This window comes from Homo sapiens, chromosome 17 (assembly GCF_000001405.40).
Source record: "Homo sapiens chromosome 17, GRCh38.p14 Primary Assembly".
Taxonomy (NCBI): domain Eukaryota; kingdom Metazoa; phylum Chordata; class Mammalia; order Primates; family Hominidae; genus Homo; species Homo sapiens.
This window is the reverse complement of record NC_000017.11, coordinates 13,581,176-13,604,465: the sequence shown is the minus strand read 5'-3', so window position 1 is coordinate 13,604,465 and position 23,290 is coordinate 13,581,176. Positions and strand designations below refer to the sequence as shown.

The window sequence follows — 23,290 nt, the reverse complement described above, 5'->3', positions numbered from 1 at the left end:
GTGCTGTCTTACTAGGGTAACCACCAGCCACCTAGGGGTATTGAGCATTTGAAATGCGGCTAGTCCCAACTGAGATGTGCAGAAGTGTAACATTCACACTGGATTCCAAAGACTTAGTATGAAAAGAAAGAACATACATGACTTCAATCATTTTTATATTGACTACATGTTACAGTCACATTTTTGGATGTATGGGACATATTATGAAAAGATAACTTTCTCTGCTTCTTTTTTAACCTTTTGTAAGGTGCTAATATTTACTAGAAATTAGCCTGGGCAACATGGCAAAACCCCATCTCTACAAAAAACAACAACAAAAAATTAGCTAGGTGTAGTGGCACATGCCTGTAGTCCCAGCTACTCAGGAGGCTAAGGTGGGAAGATCACTTGAGCCCGGGAGGCAGAGGTTGCAGTGAGCCAAGATTGTGCCATTGCACTCCAGCCTGGGTGACAGTAGACCCCATTTCAAAAAACACAGAAAAAAATTACTAGAAATTGAAAATTATCCATGCAGCTTTTATTTGTGGCTCACATTTTGCTTCTAAAGTGCAGAGCTGCCCTACATGTCATGCAAGTGATGGTGAGAACCATGTTTCCTACATCGAGCATCTTTAATACCCACGTAAAGGAAAGACCTGTGCTCAGAAAGTGAAAGACTAAACACATGCTATGATGTCATGTTGGAGCTAGAAGGGAACTTCGAGTCCATCATTTTCCAGTCCAGGAAACTGGGGCATGTTTATAAGCATTCACGGGACTGCATGCCTTCAAAACAACTTAAAAATGGTCTTTGTTTTGTTGTCTTCCTTCTGCAAATCTGACTGAAGTACTTAGGGAAAAAATGTGAAAACACAGGAAAGTTTAAGTTAGCATTAGATCTCAACTGGTTTGTCAATATCCAATTTTAGAACACAAAAGGACATTACAGCTTGGCAGGGCTTGTCCATCCTCGTAAACGCCCAGCGCTTTACGGCATCAGAATCTAAAAAGCTCTTCACTGGTTGTCGAATCAGTTGGGATTGGTAGTTCATAAACATAAAACCATAAACCATATCCAGCAGTGAGTATTTATCTAGCAGGGCACAAATTCATGGATCCATGCAAGCCCAGAGTTAGAACCACTAGGTGCCCCTTGGAAGCTGAAAAAGTGGAAGCTGACTTCCACTTCCGTGGTCAAATAGAGCACAGAAAGGCTGCGAAGTTCCTGCATGGGGACGCAGAAATGCCTGGTAAGTTTCCTGCACCGTGGACCTTGAGCCTGCGGTGGGCCCTTGTTAGCACCCGCAGAGGTCCCAGAAAGCTGCCTCCACAGCTTGCAGGGGCTGGTAAGAAGCTCCCAAGCTACCGCCCACATGGTGAGGCAACCTGTGGAGGCAAGGAAGCCAAAAAATAAGGAACAAATAGGATTAGAACAAAAAACCACCTCATGCAGCTTCCACGGGCCACCTCCCTCCATTAGACAGCAAGGCGGTTTGTATCCCTTCCTGACCTGCTCTCCGGGGAGCGCACGAAGAGGATATAGGGTCAGGGGAGGCAAGGGAAAGAGGAAACCGCAGTTTATGAAAGGACATTTAACCTCTTTGCGAGCGTGCATGCGCGCGCGCGCACACACACACACACACACACACACACACAAAAGTACAAACAACATTAAGGAAATACACACTACATTAAAAATTGGGCATAGGGACTTGGAATCGGAGTTGAATTTTTTTTAAATTTTAATTTTGCCTTTGATTTATGCATTGGTTTTTTTTTTTTTCGTAAGAGGTTGTTCCTTTCTAGGCCCTGGAGGACTGTATCATCTTATACAAATCCAAGGGAAAACAATCAAAATAAGAAAAGAAAAGAAAACAAACAAACAAAAAACAGACTGATACGAGAAAGAGCTTTGCTCCAAGACCCGCAGCAGACAGTTGAGTAGGTAGAAGTCCAAGCTGCTGCAGAGGAATTCGGTTTGCTCCAGACAAACGGGGGCGTGGCGTGCAGCGCAGTACTGGGAACTGCTGCAAACAAAACTTCCAAGGGGACGAGGAGTAGGTTCCAGGCGATGGAAAGCAGTGGGATGGGGAAGGATAGGGCAACAGTGCCAAGAGGGGAGCAGAGCGCGGGGAACCTGGAGAGGGAGGGTCAGGGCTGCGGAGGGCTGAGCTGCGGTGGAGAGCTCTGGGGCCCCTCACCAAGCTAGTGGCGTCTTGGGTGGAAGTCAGGCCCCCAGAGATCCGGCCGGCCTTAGCTGTCACTCAGGCAACCCCGGAGCCGCCGCAGACACCGGATCCACTGGAAGGGGGCGAAGCCGCGGGGAGGAATGGGGGACACTGGGGAAGGGGCGTCGCCCCTGCCGCCCCCGCCCTCTCCAGTGCCATTGGGCGGCTGCTGCGGAGCCCGCGCCACCTTTTCTCCATCCCACCCCGCCCGTCTGGCCCCGCCTGGCCGCTGGTCCGCGCCCCGCTGCGCTCGTCCGGGGGCTGGTCCGGCCCGGGCCTTTGACGTCACCAGCAAGTTTGCTGCCCTCGGCGTCCCACGTGTGGCGGCGGCCAGCGGCGGCCCAGGAGGCAGCCGGTGAGCGCCTGCGAGCAGAGTGGCGGGGGCCGCTGACAGGTCCCGCGCAGCCCAGCCCAGCCCAGCCACGCGGCTCACAGGTGGGGTCCAAGAGCAGTTTGGAGCAACCCGGCGCTACGGAGAGGGGTGGACGGCTCTGCACGGGCCTCCTGTCTCCCGCTCGGGCAGAGGGACTCGGGGGGACCTCGCTCCTTGGCTGAGAGAACCTGAACTCGGGCGGAGAGAACGCGCCCAGGCGGGCAAGGGGACCAGAGAAAGCCGGGGCTGGAAGTCACTGTCGCTCGCCACTGTCTGGAGCGCACGGAGCGCAGAGGCCCGGCAGCCGCGCGTGCCCTCACGGGGACCGAGCCAGTGATGCAGGATCGCTGAGCGGAGATCCGCGCCGAGAAGTCTCTCGGGGCCGGGGCTGAGACGCACGCCTTCGACACCGCTGCCAAGACCCCGATTCCGGCGACTCTTGCGGGGAACCGAGGGGCCAAGGCTGCCCCAAGCTCAGGACTTGGGCGAGTCTAAGACGATGGTTTCTTAAGCACGGACCCGCGTTCCCCTTCCCGCTCCCTCGACTGGAGGCAGGGATCCTGCGCGGGGCCCCCGGGATTCCGTTTCCCCGCGGAGCCCCGGCCGCTGCCTCCCGGGACAGTTCGCACGGCCACAGGGGCGCACGGCGATGTGGCCTCCGTCCAGCGCGCTGGCCCGCCGGGGGGATGCTCTGGCACCTGTCGGGGTCCAGGCCTAGCATGGCCGGCGCGTTGCCCGACGTCGCCTCCGGCTAGGATGGCCCCTCCGGGCCCGGCCAGTGCCCTCTCCACCTCGGCCGAGCCGCTGTCCCGCAGCATCTTCCGGAAGTTCTTGCTGATGCTCTGCTCCCTGCTCACGTCCCTTTACGTCTTCTACTGCCTGGCCGAGCGCTGCCAGACCCTGTCCGGCCCCGTCGTGGGGCTGTCCGGCGGCGGCGAGGAGGCGGGGGCCCCTGGTGGCGGCGTCCTGGCCGGAGGCCCGAGGGAGCTGGCGGTGTGGCCGGCGGCGGCACAGAGAAAGCGCCTCCTGCAACTGCCGCAGTGGCGGAGGCGCCGGCCGCCCGCGCCCCGCGACGACGGCGAGGAGGCGGCCTGGGAAGAAGAGTCCCCTGGCCTGTCAGGGGGTCCGGGCGGCTCCGGGGCCGGAAGCACCGTGGCCGAGGCCCCGCCGGGGACCCTGGCGCTGCTCCTGGACGAAGGCAGCAAGCAGCTGCCGCAGGCCATCATCATCGGAGTGAAGAAGGGCGGCACGCGGGCGCTGCTGGAGTTCCTGCGCGTGCACCCCGACGTGCGCGCCGTGGGCGCCGAGCCCCACTTCTTCGACCGCAGCTACGACAAGGGCCTCGCCTGGTACCGGTGAGCGGGGCGGGCCCGGGCTGGGGCTGAAGGATCCGGGGGTCCTGGGCTGGGAAAGACGTGGAGGAGCCCTCGGTGACCCCCAGTTCGCCCTCCTCCCCACTTCATGCAGAAGGCGAAGGGTCGTCAAGGGTCTTTCTTCCCTCTCCGCCTTCTCCTTCCTGGGAAGTGGATGTTGAAGGAGAGAGTGGGAGGGAAATTCTGGCCTTCATAATTTTCATCCTTGGGAATCCCTTGCCAGCAAATAGCCAGTCTGGTCTCTTTCTCCTGCTCTGCGAAAGTATTCATGTATTTAACTAAAGGAAAAAAAAAAAGTCTCTTCTAAATTAGAAACCTGTTCAACAATTAATAGATTGCCTTCTCCTTCCCAAGGAAGCCCGTTTTCATTCTTTATCTTTTGGAAAGTTCTTTGTGGTTAACACAGTCTTTACCATCAGGTATTTATTTACCTTGACCTTTTGCCAGATAGTTGTCCTAGGTGGGAAGTAATATAGAGACTTAGTAAAAGTGTCAAGAACCAGAGAATCTGGGTAGTTTGGAAAATATATGTCTGTCTGAGCAAGGGAAAGCAACCAGGCACTGTATTTTAAAGGACGCTTGGCAATAACTTTTGTTTGAGGGCAAGGAATGAGTTTTGTAAAGTGCTTTTGATATTTGCAGGGAAAAGTAACTTTTGTCTTTTGACTGACAGAAACTTTTCTAAAGATCTTCAATCCTCTTTACAAATAAGGTAGCCAATTAAAAGAAGAAGACAACAGAGAGAAAAATACATTGGCACAACTTTGCCAATACAGTTTAGGAAATAAGTCTGGCTTAGATCTTAATCTTAAATTTGCCAGTCTCTTCAAATTCAGACCACCTTTAATAATAAAATCAGCCAGATTCTAATAAAGCTAGTGTCGCCTGGATTTTGTTTGCCATAATATATTGGCTTTTTTTTTCTTTCTTCAAAGTACCAGTAAAAATTATGTTGCTAGAATTTTCCATTTTATAAAGTTTATCTTGTTCATAAAAGATGCATTCTCTTTGTTATTTTAACTGAAACAGTTACAAAAATTACAACATAATTTAGGTATTTTCAAAAAGCCCATTAAATTAATCATTCATCCCCAACACAGAAATGGATATGATTTGACAAGTTTATTTACTTGAGGGGCCAATTGCAGTCTCAGATTGATTTCAGGAGCCGAATTTACAGTCAATCCACTCAGAGAGAAAAGATTTGGCCCTAAAAATAGAATTTGAACATTAAACACTTTTAAAACAGTAACTTTCCATTTGTTGGAAAGAAAAAACAAACAACCTTCCCTTAATATAGATGATATATCATTTAAAATCATCAGCCACTTAAAATATCCCCTTGTGTTTCTGTCATTTATGTTGTATCCTCTGGGAAGTTCTTATAAAAATGACCTGTTGAATCTGGAAACAACAGGTCCTTCTTTTTAGCACAAAGGCAGCTCTGTTTTTTCCATCAAGGACACGAGAAAGAAGTGATTAAAGACCCCTAAAACTCTTATCTATAGCAGTTTGCATTGAATTCGGCCTCGTACTGTGCTGTAAGCGAACACATTTCAAGCTGACTGTCTGAAACATCTAACACTATGTTGGGCTCTGAGGTGCTATTAAATATGGTGAAATATTTAGTACTAAAACCCTTTATTTTCCTTTTGCCATATAAACTTTATTTCCACAAAGTAGGATTGTTTCTTCTTATTCCAGAAATGAGTATTTGAGGGCACGGTGTATCTGCAGACCTGGATCTTATTTTCCATGGACCTTTCTGAGCTCCTGTAAGGGGAGGAAGGTTTCAAGGTAACTAGAAACACAAGTAGTTTTTTAAAAAAAAGAAAGAAAGAAAAAAAAAGAGTCATAAACTTGTAGGCCACTCTTTCCTTTGGAAACTGAATGCATGCTATAAAGTAAATCTCTTCTTGGATTGTTTACTGCAGCAGAAGAGTTTTGTAAAGCAATTTATGGTGGTCACAAAAATAACTGCACAGTAGACTTCACGGTTTGCTGAATTTAATTTTCTAAGTGTTGGAGCAATGTCTTTGTTTTCCCATTTGCAGTGGTTTTTTATTGGATGCATAAATTTACGTTTAACTCAATTACATAGGAAACTTATTTTAAAAAAATCCAACCTATGGAGCCTGGATTATGTGATTATTTAATGAAATTTCCCCACAGTTCTCTTTCATCTTGGCTCTGAACTTGGAGTTTGATGTTTGTGAGCAAGACTGAAGGCTCGTCTATGAAAAAAAAATCTCCCACCCAGAATGCCACTTAAATATTAAGTGCATTTTAGCTACTTATATTTAGCTAATAGTTTAGAACAGGGGATTCAGTTAGACCTGCATGAGTCAGCCCAAACTTTGCAATACAGGATTTGTACCACACACTTATGACCACACTATCACAGACACACACACGAACAGAAATAAATTCCAGATATTTGCACCCAGCAGTGAATTATGGAAGAGAAAAACCTATATAATTATTTTTAGGTGTACATTGACACGGGAGAATCCTAAAAGGTCTAGCCTTTTTTTGCCCAGTGAAATCACTCAGTTAGCCATGATAGTTTGTGGTGGCAGTGCCACCTACTGTCCTCACAAAGGGACAAATCTGCTGCAATTAGCAAGTTTGAAGAAAGTGTCTTGGAGAATGAGTTTGTCAGTTAGAAATACCTGTTGCTGAACTTTTTCAGTCAATTACTCTCACTGGGAAGAAAATAAAATACTTTATGAAGTTTTTTCCAAGAGTGAAGTAATAAACACTTCCTTCATTTGAGCACATTTGTAGTAAAGATAAAGAAAATATTTATTATTCAAAATCTCTAGAAAGAAAATTATTCTCACTAATTTAAATGTCCTAATAGACTTTCTCTAAAATAAATAAAACAAAGGCAAATTTTTATATGCTGAGAAACTCGACCCTGGTGGAGTTTAAAAAAAAACACTCCTCATTACTTAATTTAGCAGACATGATATCACTAAAACAAATGTCTGTGGCTTGCATGTCACGGTAAAGCAGTCCCTTGCAATGAATAGTGTCCATTTCTCTTGTATGTATGGTGGCTTCATAAAGGAAAGGAAAAAGTTTCCTTAGCTTCAAAACATTGAGATCTTTGCTGGAAGTCAGGACCGAATACCTCTACTGTAGTTCAAGAGCAGGCGAGCTTAGAATTTAATAAGGAGGCTCTCTTCTGCTTGTTTCTGTCTGTACCAACTAAAAGGTATGTCTCTTTTTTCTTGTAAGCTAAAAGATACTTATTAATAAAGTAGTTAAATATGTGTGTACACATACACATACATATGTATGTATATAAATGTTTAGATTCAATAATATTTCAGTCTATTATTTTGGTACAAGATAGGAAATATTTATTATCCAGTCTCTTACACTAGCATGTCTATTTCTTATATTTCAGTTTCTTTTCTTTAGCCAAATCTGGACAATTTCAGCAGAGAAGGACATCACTAGAATCATTTTATTCTAGAGCATACAGGAAGATCAAAGATTGTCCAGCTCACAGTTTAGGAGCTAGTGCTCCCCTGACTTCATCCAAATTTGAAATTTTCTGGCCTCGAACGATCATGGCCCCGTTTTTCAAGTCCATTAGAGAGGCATACTGAGCAGAGGCCCTTTCGATTCCTAGGAGGAGAAATTGGCATTTCGTAGCAGCTGGGAGCAGCTGCAAAGTCCCTCCATGTGCAGTTTCCCACCCTCCTGTACTGTGCAAGCCCCTTCTGTGTGAAGAGTTTGAAATGAAATCCGAGCCACGAAGCTGCAGTCTGGCCGCCCATGCAAGGTCATGTGGACTGATGGCCAAGGGCGCTCTGTCCTTAGAGCAGAGGAAAGAACATTGGGAATAGATGAGGGCTAGGAAGAGAGTGAGATGTTACTTTGGACTCTGAGTCTAGCGTACTTGTCTATAGAAGTTCTCAGTACCTAGACATTCCCCACCTGGTCACAGGCTGGGGACCCAAAATACTGTCATCTAGTTTGCTAAATGTCTGAACTCTGGGCTCATCCCCAATAGACAACCAGAAGTGCAAGTTGATCAGCCTAGTTCCTCTGTGTGTGTGTGTGTGTGTGTGTGTGTGTGTACGCACGCGCACACCCTCACACATGCGGGAGCAGACACCGAGAAGGCAGGGACAATGATGGAATTTATGAGAGGAAAGTTACCAAGTAGTTGGGGAATTTCTGAGCAATATTGGACATCCTGAGTAGGGAACAGTTTGGGGACACTATTGAGATCATAGTCCGGGCATTAAACAACACCAAAAACACTTGGTAGAGCTTGGACTGGAATGCCTTGTGTGAATGGATATTCCTTTACAGGGATGAGATTTATAATACGCTCTTATACTTTATGTGAAATTCACAGACTTCCATGAAAATCCACCACTACGTTATAATCTCCTGCCTGCTCTTTAAAAAGAAAATACCCTGGCCAAAATATTTGTCTCCTTTAAATAAGTCTGTTGATTGGCCAGGAAAGAATAAGTGCCAAATCTGTATTTTGGCAGGGTCATGGGAATGAAATAAGCCTGTGTAATTAATGACAATAGGGGCTAACCTCACATAGACCAGATGCTTACTTCATGAGAAGAGTGTTGCAGAGCAAACAAAACTCTCTGATATCAACAACAACAACAACAACAACAACAACAACCAAAAAGGCCTCGTATCTCTCCGGGACACAGTTGAACAATTGCAAATTGCAATCACCATCAGTCAAATTGCTGGGCCCAGTCGGGAACTTGATATTCTTAGCTCGTTTCCTTAGGGGGAAATCTTCCTCCACCAAGTGATAGTAACTTGGCTGAAAAAGAGCATCGTTTCTTGGTATGGGTTTCCTAATGATAGTAAACTCCAAGCTTTTAGAAAATTTGTTCTGCTTAAGCGATGAGTTGCAATTGTGAACATAAGGTTTCTTATTAAATATGTGCCTCTAATATGTAATCAGAGGAAATTGTACTCCCTCATCTTTGCATTTTATAAGGATGTCTTAAAAATGCTTGTCAGCACTTTAAAACCTTTGCTAATTTGATACAGTTTAAAAATCTCTCTGGGGGATATTTATATAGTGAATAAATAAACTGTTGTGAAGCCAAAATTTAGAAATTGAATTTATGAGAGGAATGTTATTAAGTAATTGGGGAACTTCTGAGCAGTATTGGACATCCTGAGTAGGGAAGAATTTGGGGGGCACTGTTGAGATCATATTCCAGGCAATGCTGAGTTAGTGAATGGAAGCCTTTCCCCAGTTTCTTGCCTTCGTGATGTAACTCTTGAATTTTTGCCTTACTATGTGGTCATGATTCTTCAGGCCCCTAAAAACTTACATTTATCCTAAGATTGCCCGACTGTATTACAGAAATTCAGAACTGGCCTGTTTCAGTTGTCTGATGACAATAAATGTGAAAAGAGACGGGGAAGTGTTTAATTAACAATGAAGTTTAGTACTTGCCGTCGGGAGTTCGAGAGACATTCTTGCAAAGGTTTCAACACAAACTATTCACCGACTCGAACAGCCCGCTTTGAATGTGATATGTAGCGCCACCTAGTGGGAGGAGGAGTCAGGAAGGAACCCCTAAAGGGAGAACTTTGAAAAACCTCATCATGATAGAGCATATTTGCAGTCTCAATTTAAAAAAGAAACTACAGCAGCAACAAAAGCTTGTGTTTAGGTAGCACTTATAGCAAGATGATCTGTCTAGTAAGGATGAGCTGCACTTTGCCTTTTTTTCAAGCAAGGATAATTCACTTCTTTTAGGCAGGGAATTTATTCTTTGGAGAGAAATAAGAGATTTGGCTTCACAATAAACTGAAAACCAAGATATAAATGATTAGGGGATTTATATTAAAAATGCCTATGACTGAAAGGAATACCATATGCCCCAGATTACTTTTGTTAGTGTGTTTTGCCTCTGTGTCTGAAAGCCAGCTTCAAATGAAAATACTTCCAGATGATTTTATTTCAACATCAGTAATGCAGGCCTGTTCCTTCCCCTGTGTGGCTCTGGAGGAGGATCCTGTCATTCTAAACAGAAGCCTGTTTAACCCTTAAGGTGCCTGAGATGCCCTGTTGAGAATCCTGTCCACCACACACGGGACAGCTTCACAGGAAAGCGCTTTGAGAGTTCCGACAGGACAGGCGTTTCTGCGCCTGCAGTCCAGGGCCTGGGAGAGCAGGCTGGGATGCAGGGTGGTGGTCAGGTTAAAGGAAGGCAGGATGAAAGGGACAAATAGGACAGATTGAGTGGAGAAACTGACAGACACCACCTTAACCAAGTGACCAAGGTTAGCATTCCCTGTTGTGTTGAGATCATGATCCCCGATATAATACAATAGGATGGCACTTCACCTGTGCGGTAATCTTCCCCCAAATCCGTAACCCCAGTATAGCCCTGAGAAAACATTAGACGAACACTGATTGAGGGGCATTTTACAAAATACTTGACCAGTACCCTTCAAAAGTGTCAGGATCATACAAAACAACGCCAAGACCGCTAAGCTATCCCAGATGTGGGGAGACAAAAGTGAGTCATTACTAACAAGTAAACACGAGGGTGCCCTTGGTCGGATCCTGGGTCTGAACTAAGGCATTTATGGGAAAACTGGGGAAATGTGGATAGTGTATGCAGTTTAGTTAATAACATTATACCAACGTCAGTTTCTTGGTTTTGATCGTTGTACTGTTCTAGGGTTATGATATCCCCTAAGATGATCATTTGGGTGAAAGGAGTATGCGAATTCTCTGTGCTATTTTTCACAATTGTAATATCTAAAATGATTCTAAAATCAAAGGTGAAAACAGCAAAGAAGGCAGGAGAAGCCTAACAGGCGTTGAAGGATGAGGGCTCATACTGAAATCCTGTCTGTGCCGATTCTCTTTTATTCCGTGTTTCTTCTTTCCTTTCCTTCAGAAGGGCCCCCAGGATGGGCCCACCAGCTTCCCCTCCCCTGCCCCGCACCTGTTGCTTCCAGACATGCTGATCTTTCCCTCAGCTGATTTCATAATCATATTGGCTCACGGCTCCCTCCTACTCTCTTGTTTCCGAACCAAGCACAGAGACAGTTTTGTATTCCTTTCTTTCTGTCTTCTATGGCAGGCAAATGTAAAGTGAAGAAGGTGTGAAAGGTTCCCCAAAGCTTCCTGTCATAGAGAACAAAAACGTTGATGTAAATGACAGGTCTCTGAGGACACAAAGAGCTAAAAACTAAAATAAGGGTCAGAGGAAAATCAGACTTGGGCGTATGACTTTTTTTTTTTTTTTTTTTTGGCTACAAACATAGAAGGAACAGGTGTCAGTGGTTGAAAGCTGGTTATAGGGAAAATAGATAGGGCCAGAGCTGTGGATGCACCTTATGGCAAAGATGACAACACGGTCCCAATTTTCCAGGCCAGCTTAGTAATTTTATCTGCTTACTTCGCTTGTTTTAACCTTTGTTGTAGACACTTTGGGTTATGAAACTTTCCATAGGAGCAAAACAGACCTGGAACAATTAACGCATTCAAGGAAGAGGCAGGAAGAGAGAAAGTGCAACCTTCAGACCTCTGGAGGATCAGTTTCTTTGCACCTTCTAACTATGCAGGTTTATTCCACTGGAACTGCTCAGCCAGACTCCCAGCTTTATCAGACTCAAAGTTCCTGTCTAGGTGGTGTGCTGTCGTTTTCTGCTTCTGTTTTTAAATACACAGTTATGTTTATCTGGGCTTCTGGTTGACTAGAGTAATGAAAATCTCCCTCAGAACATTTCCTCTGATATTTTTAACAACTGTAAAAATAGTTTTATCCACATTACATTTTTACTTAAGCAAAACAAAACAACACCCACGCCATCAAGAGACTCCAAGAAACTAACAGTATTTTCTTTGAATCGTTCATTCACTTATCTTTATTGGATCCGTTTTATCAACTGCTTTCGTGCAAGGGATAGACTGCAAATGCTTATGTAGTTAAAAATAATTTCTGTGATTTAATACCATTCTCTACTTGTTTGGCATTTTTCCATTTTAGTGGCTATACACTTTTCTTCATGCGTTTTAGCCTTTTTTAAAATAGCAAAATAATTGGACCCCGCGGTATATCTTTGATGAAATCTATCATTTTAGAGGTGAGGTGATATTAACTGTATTTGTTGAGGCTACACTATGTGCTGGATGATGCGGAATGATCTGTTGCTTGTAGTCTGATGTTATTAATAGGATTTATATTTTTATGCAGGTCCTATCATTTTCTACATTTTATAGATCAGAAAAGAGGCTCAGAAAGATGAAATAACTTGTCCAAGATCATAGAACTATGTAGGTCATAGAACTACTGCCAAACCCAGATTCACCCACCTCCAGCATGCCAGAGCCTCACCACTGGGGTGAATGGTCTCTGTGATGGTCTCTGGCAGAACTGCCCAGAGGTAGTTCTTGCTACCTGCCTACATAGCAAGCCATCAATGTCTCAAAGATGCAGGGGATTGAAAGGCTGCCCCATGTGGTAGAGTGACTTGGACATTCTGATCTTGGACCTTTAGTTAGAAAATTGGGCAGCACGTTAGGGCCAGGTGTGGTGGCTTATGCCTGGAATCCCGGCACTTTGGGAGACAGAGGCAGGCAGATCACTTGAGGGCAGGAGTTCGAGACCAGCCTGGCCAACATGGTGAAATCGCATCTCTACTAAAAATACAAAAATTAGCCGGATGTGGTCGTGGACGCCCTGTAATCCCAGCTACTCGGGAAGCTGAGGTACAAGAATTGCTTAAGCCCAGGAGGCAGAGGCTGCATTGAGCTGAGATTGCGCCACTGCACTCCAGCCTGGGCAACAGAGTGAGACTCTGTCCCAAAAAAAAAAAAAAAGAAGAAGAAAAAAGGAAATTTGGGCAATACATTAAAATATGGTCATAAAAGTGAATTTTTAAAAGTATTTAAATACCTCTGTTAGTCAATTGGCCTATTATGGAATAACTAAAACCGCCTTCATTTTTGTCAACTTTTCTCCCTTTTTCTCTAAAGAAGTTGTCTGATCACAGAACTTATCTTGTTGAACATATTAGAAATCTTGTGTCATTCAATTGATTTTTCCCCCATTTATTACAAAATAACAATAACCACTAAAAACACTCTCCAAACTGCTATGTGAGAAAGCCAATATGTTGTCAGAAATGTAATCAGAGCTGGGTGCGGTGGCTCATGCCTGTAATCCCAGCACTTTGGGAGGCTGAGGTGGGCAGATCACTTGAAGTCAGGAATTCGAGACCAGCCTGGGCAACATGGTAAAACCCTGTCTCTACCCAAAATACAAAAGATTAGCCGGGTGTGGTGGCCATGCCTGTAATCCCAGGTACTCCGGAGGCTGAGGTAAGAGGATGGCCAGAGCCCGGGAGGCAGAGGTAGCAGTGAGCCAAGATCTCACCACTGCACTCCAGTCTGGCTGACAGAGTGAGACTCTGTCTCAAAAAAAAAAAAAAAAGAAAAGAAAAAGAAAATAAATGTAATCAGAAGGACGCTTGCTGAATCTGGAATTGGAGCAAGGAGAGCTGAGGCCTGCGTGCCGTGGCTAGTGTCACCGAGCTACCCTGAGGTCCCTTTTGCACTGTAGGGATCCCCCCCCAATCCAGTGCTCTCCCGGAACCTTGCTGAGCCACTCTGCCAGTCTGTCTTTTTCACTGTTCCATATTTTCACCTTTGGATTGATGCTTTTTAAAAATTCTTCAGATATGTTAATACCCCCAATGAGAGCACAGCCTGGTTGTTATCCCAAGTACTATTCTATCTTCATTATTATTGTTATTAATAATGTTTGTCTAATTGATTTCCTGTCATCTGGTCATTACTAACACCAAGCCTTTACTGGAGTGGTCAGACCATTAGTCACATAAGACATGACTGTTGATCTGAACTTCCTTTAGTTCCAATAAGATAGAATCATAAACAGATAGGATGTTGGAGGTAGAAGGTATCTGAAAGATAAAGATTGTCTTCCGAATAGGAAGAAACAGAAGTGCTTTGCCCAGGTTAAGCTGAAAGACAAGAACTCAGGGCTTCTAATTCCAATGGTATAATTCTTAAATGCAATTGGGAAATAATTGCCCATCTCCACAAATGTAAGTTTAGTTTTGGCAGATTTGCAACAATGATAAAAATATTTTTTTGAATGGAACCAGTCGTAGCATAGTTTTTTTTTTTTTTTTTAACCTCACAGAGCTATTAAATTAAAGCCTTGAATTGAATTGAATCAATGGTCAATTCATCTTTAAATTTCTGGTTTTCATCTCAGATGTTTTCCACAATATTTTGATACTTACAGGTATGGTAACCCATCGAGTGTGATTGGTCTTTGGGTCCTTGGAAATAATTTGTGTTTTATGGCCGTTGCCTGCTTGTTAAAGATTAGCAGGAGAAATCTGAGTATGGACAGGAAAAAGTTTGCTTTTTTCTCTCTCGAGTGTTCAGAGTAGGAAGTAATCAATCAAATTATGGGAATAAAATTTCTTTCCCTTTTTTCAGAGTTCTTACTTGGATTAGATCTCTCCTTTCACTAGGAAATATCAAAGTTGCCAGGCTGGTTTGAATGACAAAGTCAAAAATGATGTGTTTGTTATGGTCATAAATCTCTGTGGATTCTCATTAAGTTCAGGTATTTAACAAAAGGGAACTGGATTAAGCTGCAACTAAAGTTACATTCCCGGAGCTAACTGCTCCCCTCGTCACCTTTCTAAACGGAAGCCATGTTTGCCCTAACTCCATGTTTTGAAAAAACGCTGCCACGATGCAGTGATTTCATTTCACAGACAAAGCTTTAAACAAAGTAAACAGAAACTTGCACCTGTGTGTGCGTGTGTGTGTGTGTGTAATTTTCTGGTGAACTCTACTTATTCTTGTAGTTTCCTTTGTCAAATGTTGTGTGTTTGCTTTTTTGTTTTTTCTTGTTTTAAGAAAGAAAGGCCACTTTTTTCTTTCTAATGAGGCCTTACTCTTACTCCTTGGTGTAGGAGGCTTTTGGATTACAACATTATTTGTTCAAAAGGGCTTTCCCCAAAGCCAGAGGGTCTACTAGAATGCCCTGCTAGGGTTTAATGATGGAAAGAAAACAGATTGGATCTGTTTTATATTTATGTGGGGAGAGGTCACAGGGAGCTAAAGCTTGTGATGACAATTCTGGGGATTTTCAGGTGCATTTGCCCTGTTGGCGAAGGGTGGCAAATTGGAGAACAGGCCTTGGAGAAACTGCTCAGCTCCCATGGATTGTTACCAAGTAGGAAGGAGGGCTCCTAGTGCCTTGTCCTCTGACTTTTTAAAGAAACTTGGAATATCGACTTTTTAAAAACAGATTGGAAAAGAATTTACATATTAAAAACCAAAACCCACATGAAAACCAAACAAACGTCTGTGTGGATGAAGCGAATCAATCTCAACTGAAGTGAATGGCTGCAAGTTTACAGCCTGTGACGTGTGGTGAAGGTCAGAGTTAGACAATCCACAGCTGGAGTGGACCAGTGAGTTTTTCAAACATGAATCACAAGACATGAATGTCTGATAAAATCAATCATTCTTTAAAAATGGAACTATATATCATGCCTGTAATCCCAGCACTTTGGGAGGCCGAGACGGTCAAGACCATCCTGGCTAACACGGTGAAACCCCGTCTCTACTAAAAATACAAAAAAATTAGCTGGGCGTGGTGGTGGGCGCCTGTAGTCCCAGCTACTTGGGAGGCTGAGGCAGGAGAATGCCGTGAACCCGGGAGGCAGAGCTTGTAGTGAGCTGAGATTCTGCCACAGCACTCCAGCCTGGGCAACAGAGCGAGACTCCGTCTAAAAAAAAAAAAATGGAACTACATATAAAATGGACTATACTAAGAGAGTGAATCCCATGTAGTAAGAAAGACAAGTATTGTCTTGACAAACTTGGTTCTGTTTGTTATATTTACTTATATAGATGTGTGTGCGCTGAAAGGATTGGGTGTAAAATGTATTTGCTATAGTGGATCCCAATAGAAAAAAACAGTTTGAAAAACGTTGACTAGTGTACATGGAAGTCATGTTTGAAAAGACTAAAATGAATGTGCTTCAGGGCCCCTTGAGAAACTAAGTGTGAACATTGTATGCTATGGATTCTAAACTTCAATTCTTTTAACCCTATATGCCCATGGCTTGGAACTGTACCACGAATAGACTCACTATGAGTTTAATGAAAAAACAACAATTTAATGACCCCTTAGGCCAGGTGTCAGCAATTTTTTTTTTTTTCTGGAAAGGGCCAGATACTAAATACTTTAGGTTTTGTGGGTGGTACAGTGTTTATCACAACCACTCAATTCTGCTTGTATAGCAGGAAGCAGCCACAGACGATATGTAAATGAATACGTGTGGCTGTGTTCCAATAAAACTTTATTGACCCAAACTATAAGACCACTGGCTGTTGTTTGCAGACTTCTGGGCTAAGCCAGAGGCTTCAAATATCTCATATGTGCTTCCTTTATTTATGGGTTACTCTCAGGTGAGCACCCGCAGCTAATATTGATGGCAATGTTAGGGAGGCAGAATGTAGGTGATGAAACTCCAATTCAAGATCCAATTTAGAAATAACAGAGCTCCCTGTGGCTGTGTGGGAATGGGATTAGGTCATGCATTCTGGAACTGCATGCCAGTGACCTGTATTTTTGAAATGCACAAAGTTGTTTGGGAGGATGACATTTTCTAGAATGTGATTATATGCTCAACTACAAATATTCTGTTTTGAAATAGACATAAACACCAATCAAAGTAGTGGTAGGTCTTTTTTTTCAAGCTTAATCATCTGTTTTGATGCTTCCTTGACTTTGTACTTGAGTGTGTTTAGTTTATAAATCATCCCCTGCTCTCTCTTTTTCCTTTAGATGCCTGGGTACCATATGAATCATTTAGGAGTAGTAGGGGTACAGTGAGGTCACTTTCATTGTCACCTGACTTCTGCACTGAAACAGCGTGTTATTCACTCATCTGTCTGTGCAGGTGAGGAGTGAGACATCAAGTTAGGAACAAAGGTTGGGAAAGATTTTTGAAGATTATTATTATTTTTATTTTTGAGACGGAGTCTCACTCAGTCACCAGATTGGAGTGCAGTGGCACGATATCAGCTCATTGCAACCTCTGCCTCTTGGGTTCAAGCGATTCTCCTGCCTCGGCCTCCCGAGTAGCTGGGACTACAGGCGCACGCCACCACACCCAGCTAATTTTTGTATTTTTAGTAGAAGTGGGGTTTCACCATGTTGGCCAGGATGATCTCGATCTCCTGACCTCGTGATCCGCCCACCTCAGCCTCCCAAAGTGCTGGGATTACAGGCGTGAACCACCGTGCCCGGCCTCAAAGATTATTAAGGGGCATGTTTAAGGAGTTGGGACTTTATTCAAAAGGACAGCACAGTCCAATGGAAATGTAATGAGAACCTTATATGTAATTTCAACTTTCTAGTAGTTACCTTAAAAAGGTGAGAGTAAAGAGGTGAAATTAATTTTAATAATATTTTAACTTAAGCTAATATGTCTAAAATATTATATTTTCAATATGAAATCAAAATAAAACATTATTAGTAAGAAATCTTGTAGTTTTTTATATTAAGTCTTCAAAATCTAGTATGCCTTTTTTTTTTTTTTTTTTTTTTTTTTGTGAGACAGAGTCTCTCTCTGTCGCCCAGGCTGGAGTGCAGTGGCTTGATCTCTGCTCACTGCAAGCTCTGCCTCCTGGGTTCATGCCATTCTCCTGCCTCAGCCTCCCCAGTAGCTGGGACTACAGGCGCCCGCCACCACGCTTGGCTAATTTTTTTGTATTTTTTTAGTAGAGACGGGGTTTCACCGTGTTAGCCAGGATGGTTGCAATCTGCTGACCTCGTGATCCGCCCGCCTCGGCGTCCCAAAGTGTTGGGATTACAGGCGTGAGCCACCGCGCCCGGCCTAAAATCCAGTATGCATTTTACACTTGCAGCAGATTTCAGTTTGGGTTAACTACAGTTCAAGAGCTCAGTAGCCTCATGAAGCCAATGGCTATTCTACTGGCTGCTCAAGGCACTGGAGGCAGAGTCAGAGGAGGGGGCATTGAAGGCTTGCAGTGGAGGACTGATTTCACAGACCCCCTCTGGTTCTGCTGTGGAAATCTAGTTCTCGGTGGCATACGGATGCACACTGGGATAGGTGGCCGTTGAGGAATCTAGAGGACCGATGATAGAGGCTTGAACTAGAGCAGTGCGGTATGCATGGGAAGTGAGGGAAATATTTGGTAGATGTTTCAGAAGTAGGACTTATAACACTGTGTGGAATACTAGCCATGCGAAAAGGAGGAGGAAAGGGAGAGTAGTTCAGTTATTAGTAACTGTAACTGTGATAAGGAACACAGAGGCGGGTTGTGGTGGCTCACGCCTGTAATCCCAGCACTTTGGGAGGCTGAGGCGGGCGGATCATGAGGTCAGGAGATTAAGACCATCCTGGTCAACATGGTGAAACCCCGTCTCTACTAAAATACAAAAAATTAGCCGGGCTTGGTAGTCCGCGCCCGTAGTCCCAGCTACTTGGAGGCTGAGGTAGGGGAATTGCTTGAACCTGGGAGGCAGAGGTTGCAGTGAGCCGAGATTGCGCCACTGTACTCCAGCCTGGGCGACAGAGCGAGACTCTGTCAGAAAAAAAAAAAAAAAAAAAAAAAAAAACGCAGAAGGAGGAATAACAGGTCTCAAGGGGAACGAGCAATTTTGTTTCATACACGTAAAGTGGAAAGCGCTCTGGGTTAAGCTGGAGCCCAGGAGTAAGGGTCAGATTTGGGAGCCATGATCACTACGGTTGTGTCAGTGGCCAGCACAGCCAAGATGTGAACGTATGTAGAGGAGCAGACCTAGGTCTTCCGAGTCCTACTGGTGCTTATTTCTATTCTAGACCCAAAGGGAGAATTTCTGTAGTCTATACCATGCATGCAGAAATGTTTAGTGTGAACTGCTGTCCACAATTTACTTTGAAATGCATTTTAAAAAGGAAAAAAAAAAAAGGAGAATAGGGCCAGGTGCACTGGCTCATGCCTGTAACCTCAGCACTTTGGGAGGCTGAGGCGGGTGGATCACCTGAGGTCAGGAGTTTGAGACCAGCCTGGTCAACATGGTGAAACCCCGTCTCCACTAAAAATACAAAAATTAGCCGGGCGTGGTGGTGCATGCCTGCAGTCCCAGCTACTCTGGAGGCTGAAGCAGGAGAATCGCTTGAACCCGGGAGGCAGAGGTTGCAGTGAGCTGAGATTGCACCACTGCACTCCAGCCTGGGCGACAGAGCAAGACTCTGTCTCAAAAAAAAAAAAAAAAAAAAAAAAAAAAAAAGCACAGAAAAATGAGTATTTAGATTGTAATTGGCGGCTAAATGGTTGTTCATGGTATAGTTCTTTCAAAGTTTTGCTCTAACTTACATTTCCACAATAAATGCTGGTAATGAGGATGGGAGGATGGTTTCAAGGTCCGTGGTATCAAATACTACAGAAAGGATGAATACAGGTTTTATTATTTGCCTTGTGAGTTAAGAAGTCATTGGTGACCTTGAAGCCAGGTGGGCTTTTGCGGTGTGACAGAAGCCACATGGCATGGGGTGATGAGTAAATGGAAATGTGTCAGAAGACACAGGAATGTAATGAACTTCACCAGTGTATCTGTGTAATCTTTGCCACCTTCCCTATCTTTCCTGGACTTGAGTCACCCAATGGGATCCTCATACTTGCTTTGTGATGATTATGACTAGTTATCCACGTGAATAAAACTTCCTGAGATGAAAAGAGGGTTTAGAATGTGCTTACTGTATTTTTTCCTGGTTACTGCACCTATATGCCCTGGTTTCTGTGTTTATGTGTTTGCTTATGTATAGTGGCATGATTAATTGTTTTTTTAATCAGAGAGTTTTAGCCAAATCAATCCTTCCTTTCTTCCTTCCTTCCCTCCTTCCTTCCTTCTTTCCTTCCTTCCTTCTTTCCTTCCTTCCTTCTTTCCTTCCTTCCTTTTTTCCTTCCTTCCTTCTTTGCCTCCCTCCCTCCCTCCGTCTCTCCCTTCCTTCCTTCCTTCCTTCCTCTCTCTCTCTTTCTTCTTTTTTTTTTTTGGAAATTGCAGGTTGTGCTCTTTGGATGAATGCTTATGGTTTCCATCCTTAATGATTAAACACACGTAGCCATGTAGCAACTGAAATGCCTGTTTAATTTTCGTGAACATTTTGGTAAAAGCATAGTGGTTCTTCTTCAAGGCAGCACTTGTACCAGTCTATTCTAAGCTCCATTGCAAGTATGAAAATAAAGACAAACTTGCTTTAAGAATCTCCATTTTTTGAATACTTGCTTGAAGATTTCATCAGAGAATGAAGAAATTTAAATACCTTATGGTTTTTCCTCATTAACATTGAAGGCTTTTAAAAAGTTTTAACCATTGGCTATTCTTCCATCAGTGACATATTTTTATGTGTTCACTATGAATACCAGATAGCACATAAAATCCAGGTACTCTTTGCTTTGCATTCAATACTTTCCTTTTTCTTCTCTGGAAATCATGGTAATGGTGAGAAATCCTCAAAAACGAAGCAAAGCAAAAACCCTCAGGAGTGAGAAAACCAAACCAATGTATTATTGCTTTATTGTCTGACTCACAAATGTACTGCTCATGGCAAAACAAAACCAAACTAAGCCAAATACCGTTGTAGTGTTCAATTTCTCATTTAGTTCACAGCGAATATTTCTCTCCAACTCATAGAGGTTCGTAGAGAAAAGAAATAGAGAAAATTTCAAGCTGAATGTTATTTAAAATAAGTGGAGTGACTATGTAAAGTTCAACAACTATGTTCATGTCATCTCTTTAGATTTAATATTGGGATATTGCAAATAATTAATGTATTTCACCATGAGTTTCTTTTCCAGTTTGATAAAAAAATCTAAGGGTAGGCCTTTAGCAGCATGGTGACGTGTTAAGGGGCATTTTTCTGGAGGGGATGAGGGAGAAGAGAAATTGAGAGTATGAGGAGCCCAGAAAACTGGAGAATGTAAAAGCTGGTGGCTTAAGTTTAAACAAATACGTGCCTGAGATCTTCACTTTTCTAATATCCTGATTAAAATAAAGCCAGACTCCTTGTGACTCTCTGCATATATGTAACAAAATTTAGAATATTTCATTGCATGACCAGAAACTCCACACAACTGCAGCAGAGGAGAAAATAGAAAACCAAAAGGGGAAGAGAAAAGAGAAAGTAGCCCTCATCAAATGCTTCAGAGGCCCACCAATAAAAGGGCAAAGAGGCCAACATGAAGGGGAATGTGATTTAACGGCAGTTTCAAATTTTCTTAGTGGTCGAGTCAGATTTTTTCAAGGAATAACTCTGAAGACTTCTGTGAGTCCTAAAATTCACAGATGCCGAAATGTTTGTATCTTCTCTACGTCTCCCGCGTCTCATGCCTTTCTATGGCCGTGGATTTCCAGTGGATTTCCTCATACCCACAATTTATTGCCTTTCAGTTACCACTATAATTTTGTTCACAAAGTTGCATTTTTCTCTCATATCTGGAGAATGAATGGCTGTAACATCTTCACAGGAATTTAAACTATCTGCCTCTACAAAATTAACAAATGACTGAGTCTCAGGAACTGTGCAGGCTACTTACACATTATCAAAGAGCAAATGTGAATCTTTGCCTGCCAGAGGTTACTCTGTATTACAGCATTATCTAAAAAATAAGTCACTCGGAAAGACACCATAGTATTTTAAATATGATTTCTGATAGACTGATTGATTTCTCAGGGAAAGAAAGCATGAAAATCATTAAGTAATATAATGAATGAGAAAGTAGTACTATGCAAATGAAAACGTGATTATTTTGAAATCTTAGAAATACGTTGGGCATTAAATGTTTCATTTCACGTGCAACTCCTTGATCGTTTAGCAAACCACATCAGTGGACAGATTATATTTTGGCTGTATTCATGCAAGCATGTTTTTCCTTCATTTATAAAAAAGCAAATAAAGCATAGTTCATTTAAATAGCTACATGAGTATATTGATTTGGACTTCTGACTTATGTATTCCTATTATCATAGTATACTAGCACAGTTGTAAAGGTTCGGGCAAAATTATTGCCCTTTTAAACAGGAAGTTCTTAAAAACCAAATAATAACTGGATATTTAAGCAACTTCAATACATTGATTTGGGCATATGACTTTTATGTATGCCTATTATCAGAATTGCATAGAATATGCTAGCTCAGTTTTAAAAGCTCAGGCAAAATCATTTTCCTTGAAAACAGAAAGTTCTTTTTCTTCCTCCCCAAGGCCGCTAAAAATTTGAACTATTGAACTCAGATTTGAGTGATGATGTACTATACTTTGCCAAACGAGTTGTTTCCCCTTTTATAACATCCATCAGAAAAAAAAAAGAGGAGGAACACTTCCTGTCATTTGTTCATTGGTCAAACTGTTTGCCAGGAAAGTCTTTTTTTGTGTGTCTGTTTGCTTAAGTCAAGGTAATTTTAAAATAGGAAGAAAATTTCACACCGTTCTCAGGTGACATTTAGGAAAGAAAAAAGTATGAGTCTGTGTGTTACATTCTATTGGCACAGAAATGCCCAGACAGTAGTTAAAGGGCGACCCCCTGGGAACTGAGTTTATTTATTCTTATCTAAATATAAAGTACCTTGTTATTAAGAAAAAAGTACACTATCACAAAATCTCATTATTAGCATTGGAAATGAACTTGGGGTCATTTAGCCCAATACTTATCTGATAGACCAAAGTTTATTAAAACAGTTCTGTAGCTATTCTAGTCATCAAATCATGTTTTTAAGATAAGTTCTCAAAACATTGATATAACATAACTTATTTGGATGGTAAAAATATTTATTCAGTCCATTGCTTGCTTGCCTGCTCATTGACAAGCACATTCACATCTATTTATTCTGTATTTGTGTGGCTAGTTGTTTTCAGACAGTGTTGGGTGTGTAGACAACTTTAGAAATATTATTTTATTAGCTTATGTTAAAGTTTATTAATTAGGAAGTTTCTACGTTTTTTTTTTTTTTTTTGAGATAGAGTCTCACTTCATCACCCAGGCTGGAGTGCAGTGGCTCGATCTCAGCCCACTGCAACCTCTCTCTCCCGGGTTCAAGTGATTCTCATGCCTCAGCCTCCTGAGTAGCTGGGACTACAGGTGCGTGCCACCACACCCAGCTAATTTTTGTATTTTTAGTACAGACAGAGTTTTGCCATGTTGGCCAGGCTGGTCTTCAACTCCTGACCTCAGGTGATCCACCCACTGCAGAAGCTTCTACTATTATGTGTATATAGCACATATATAAATGTATATGATAGACATA

General features: G+C 43.0%; 1 protein-coding gene across 2 annotated transcripts in view, besides 4 other annotated features; it reads left to right on the top strand.

Moving 5' to 3' along the window:
• Positions 1,820-2,114: a silencer, noted in NCBI's record as "tiled region #12003; HepG2 Repressive non-DNase unmatched - State 4:PromP". NCBI's record gives its function as "represses a minimal TATA promoter and a strong SV40 promoter by Sharpr-MPRA in HepG2 cells {active_cell/tissue: HepG2}" and the evidence as "EXISTENCE:reporter gene assay evidence [ECO:0000049][PMID:27701403]".
• The window catches only part of HS3ST3A1 (heparan sulfate-glucosamine 3-sulfotransferase 3A1), a 107,898-nt gene continuing 87,144 nt past the window's right edge, over positions 2,537-23,290 (top strand). The window contains exons 1-2 of one of the 2 annotated variants that reach the window (XM_017025480.3): positions 2,537-3,935; positions 5,658-9,063. In XM_017025480.3, coding sequence (XP_016880969.1) covers positions 3,337-3,935; positions 5,658-5,754 — 696 coding nt within the window. In that variant the 5' untranslated portion in view covers positions 2,537-3,336 and the 3' untranslated portion in view covers positions 5,755-9,063. Of the gene's footprint in view, positions 3,936-5,657; positions 9,064-23,290 lie in introns of those variants that run through there. The other variant, NM_006042.3, reaches the window with a different exon arrangement.
• Positions 2,963-3,583: an enhancer, noted in NCBI's record as "H3K27ac hESC enhancer chr17:13504200-13504820 (GRCh37/hg19 assembly coordinates)". NCBI's record gives its function as "activates a minimal SCP1, AML or CMV promoter by ChIP-STARR-seq in naive H9 embryonic stem cells {active_cell/tissue: H9 hESC(naive)}" and the evidence as "EXISTENCE:reporter gene assay evidence [ECO:0000049][PMID:30033119]".
• Positions 20,187-20,387: a silencer, noted in NCBI's record as "peak2739 fragment used in MPRA reporter construct". NCBI's record gives its function as "represses an SCP1 promoter by STARR-seq MPRAs in K562 erythroleukemia cells {active_cell/tissue: K562}" and the evidence as "EXISTENCE:reporter gene assay evidence [ECO:0000049][PMID:32103011]".
• Positions 22,307-22,507: a silencer, noted in NCBI's record as "peak2737 fragment used in MPRA reporter construct". NCBI's record gives its function as "represses an SCP1 promoter by STARR-seq MPRAs in K562 erythroleukemia cells {active_cell/tissue: K562}" and the evidence as "EXISTENCE:reporter gene assay evidence [ECO:0000049][PMID:32103011]".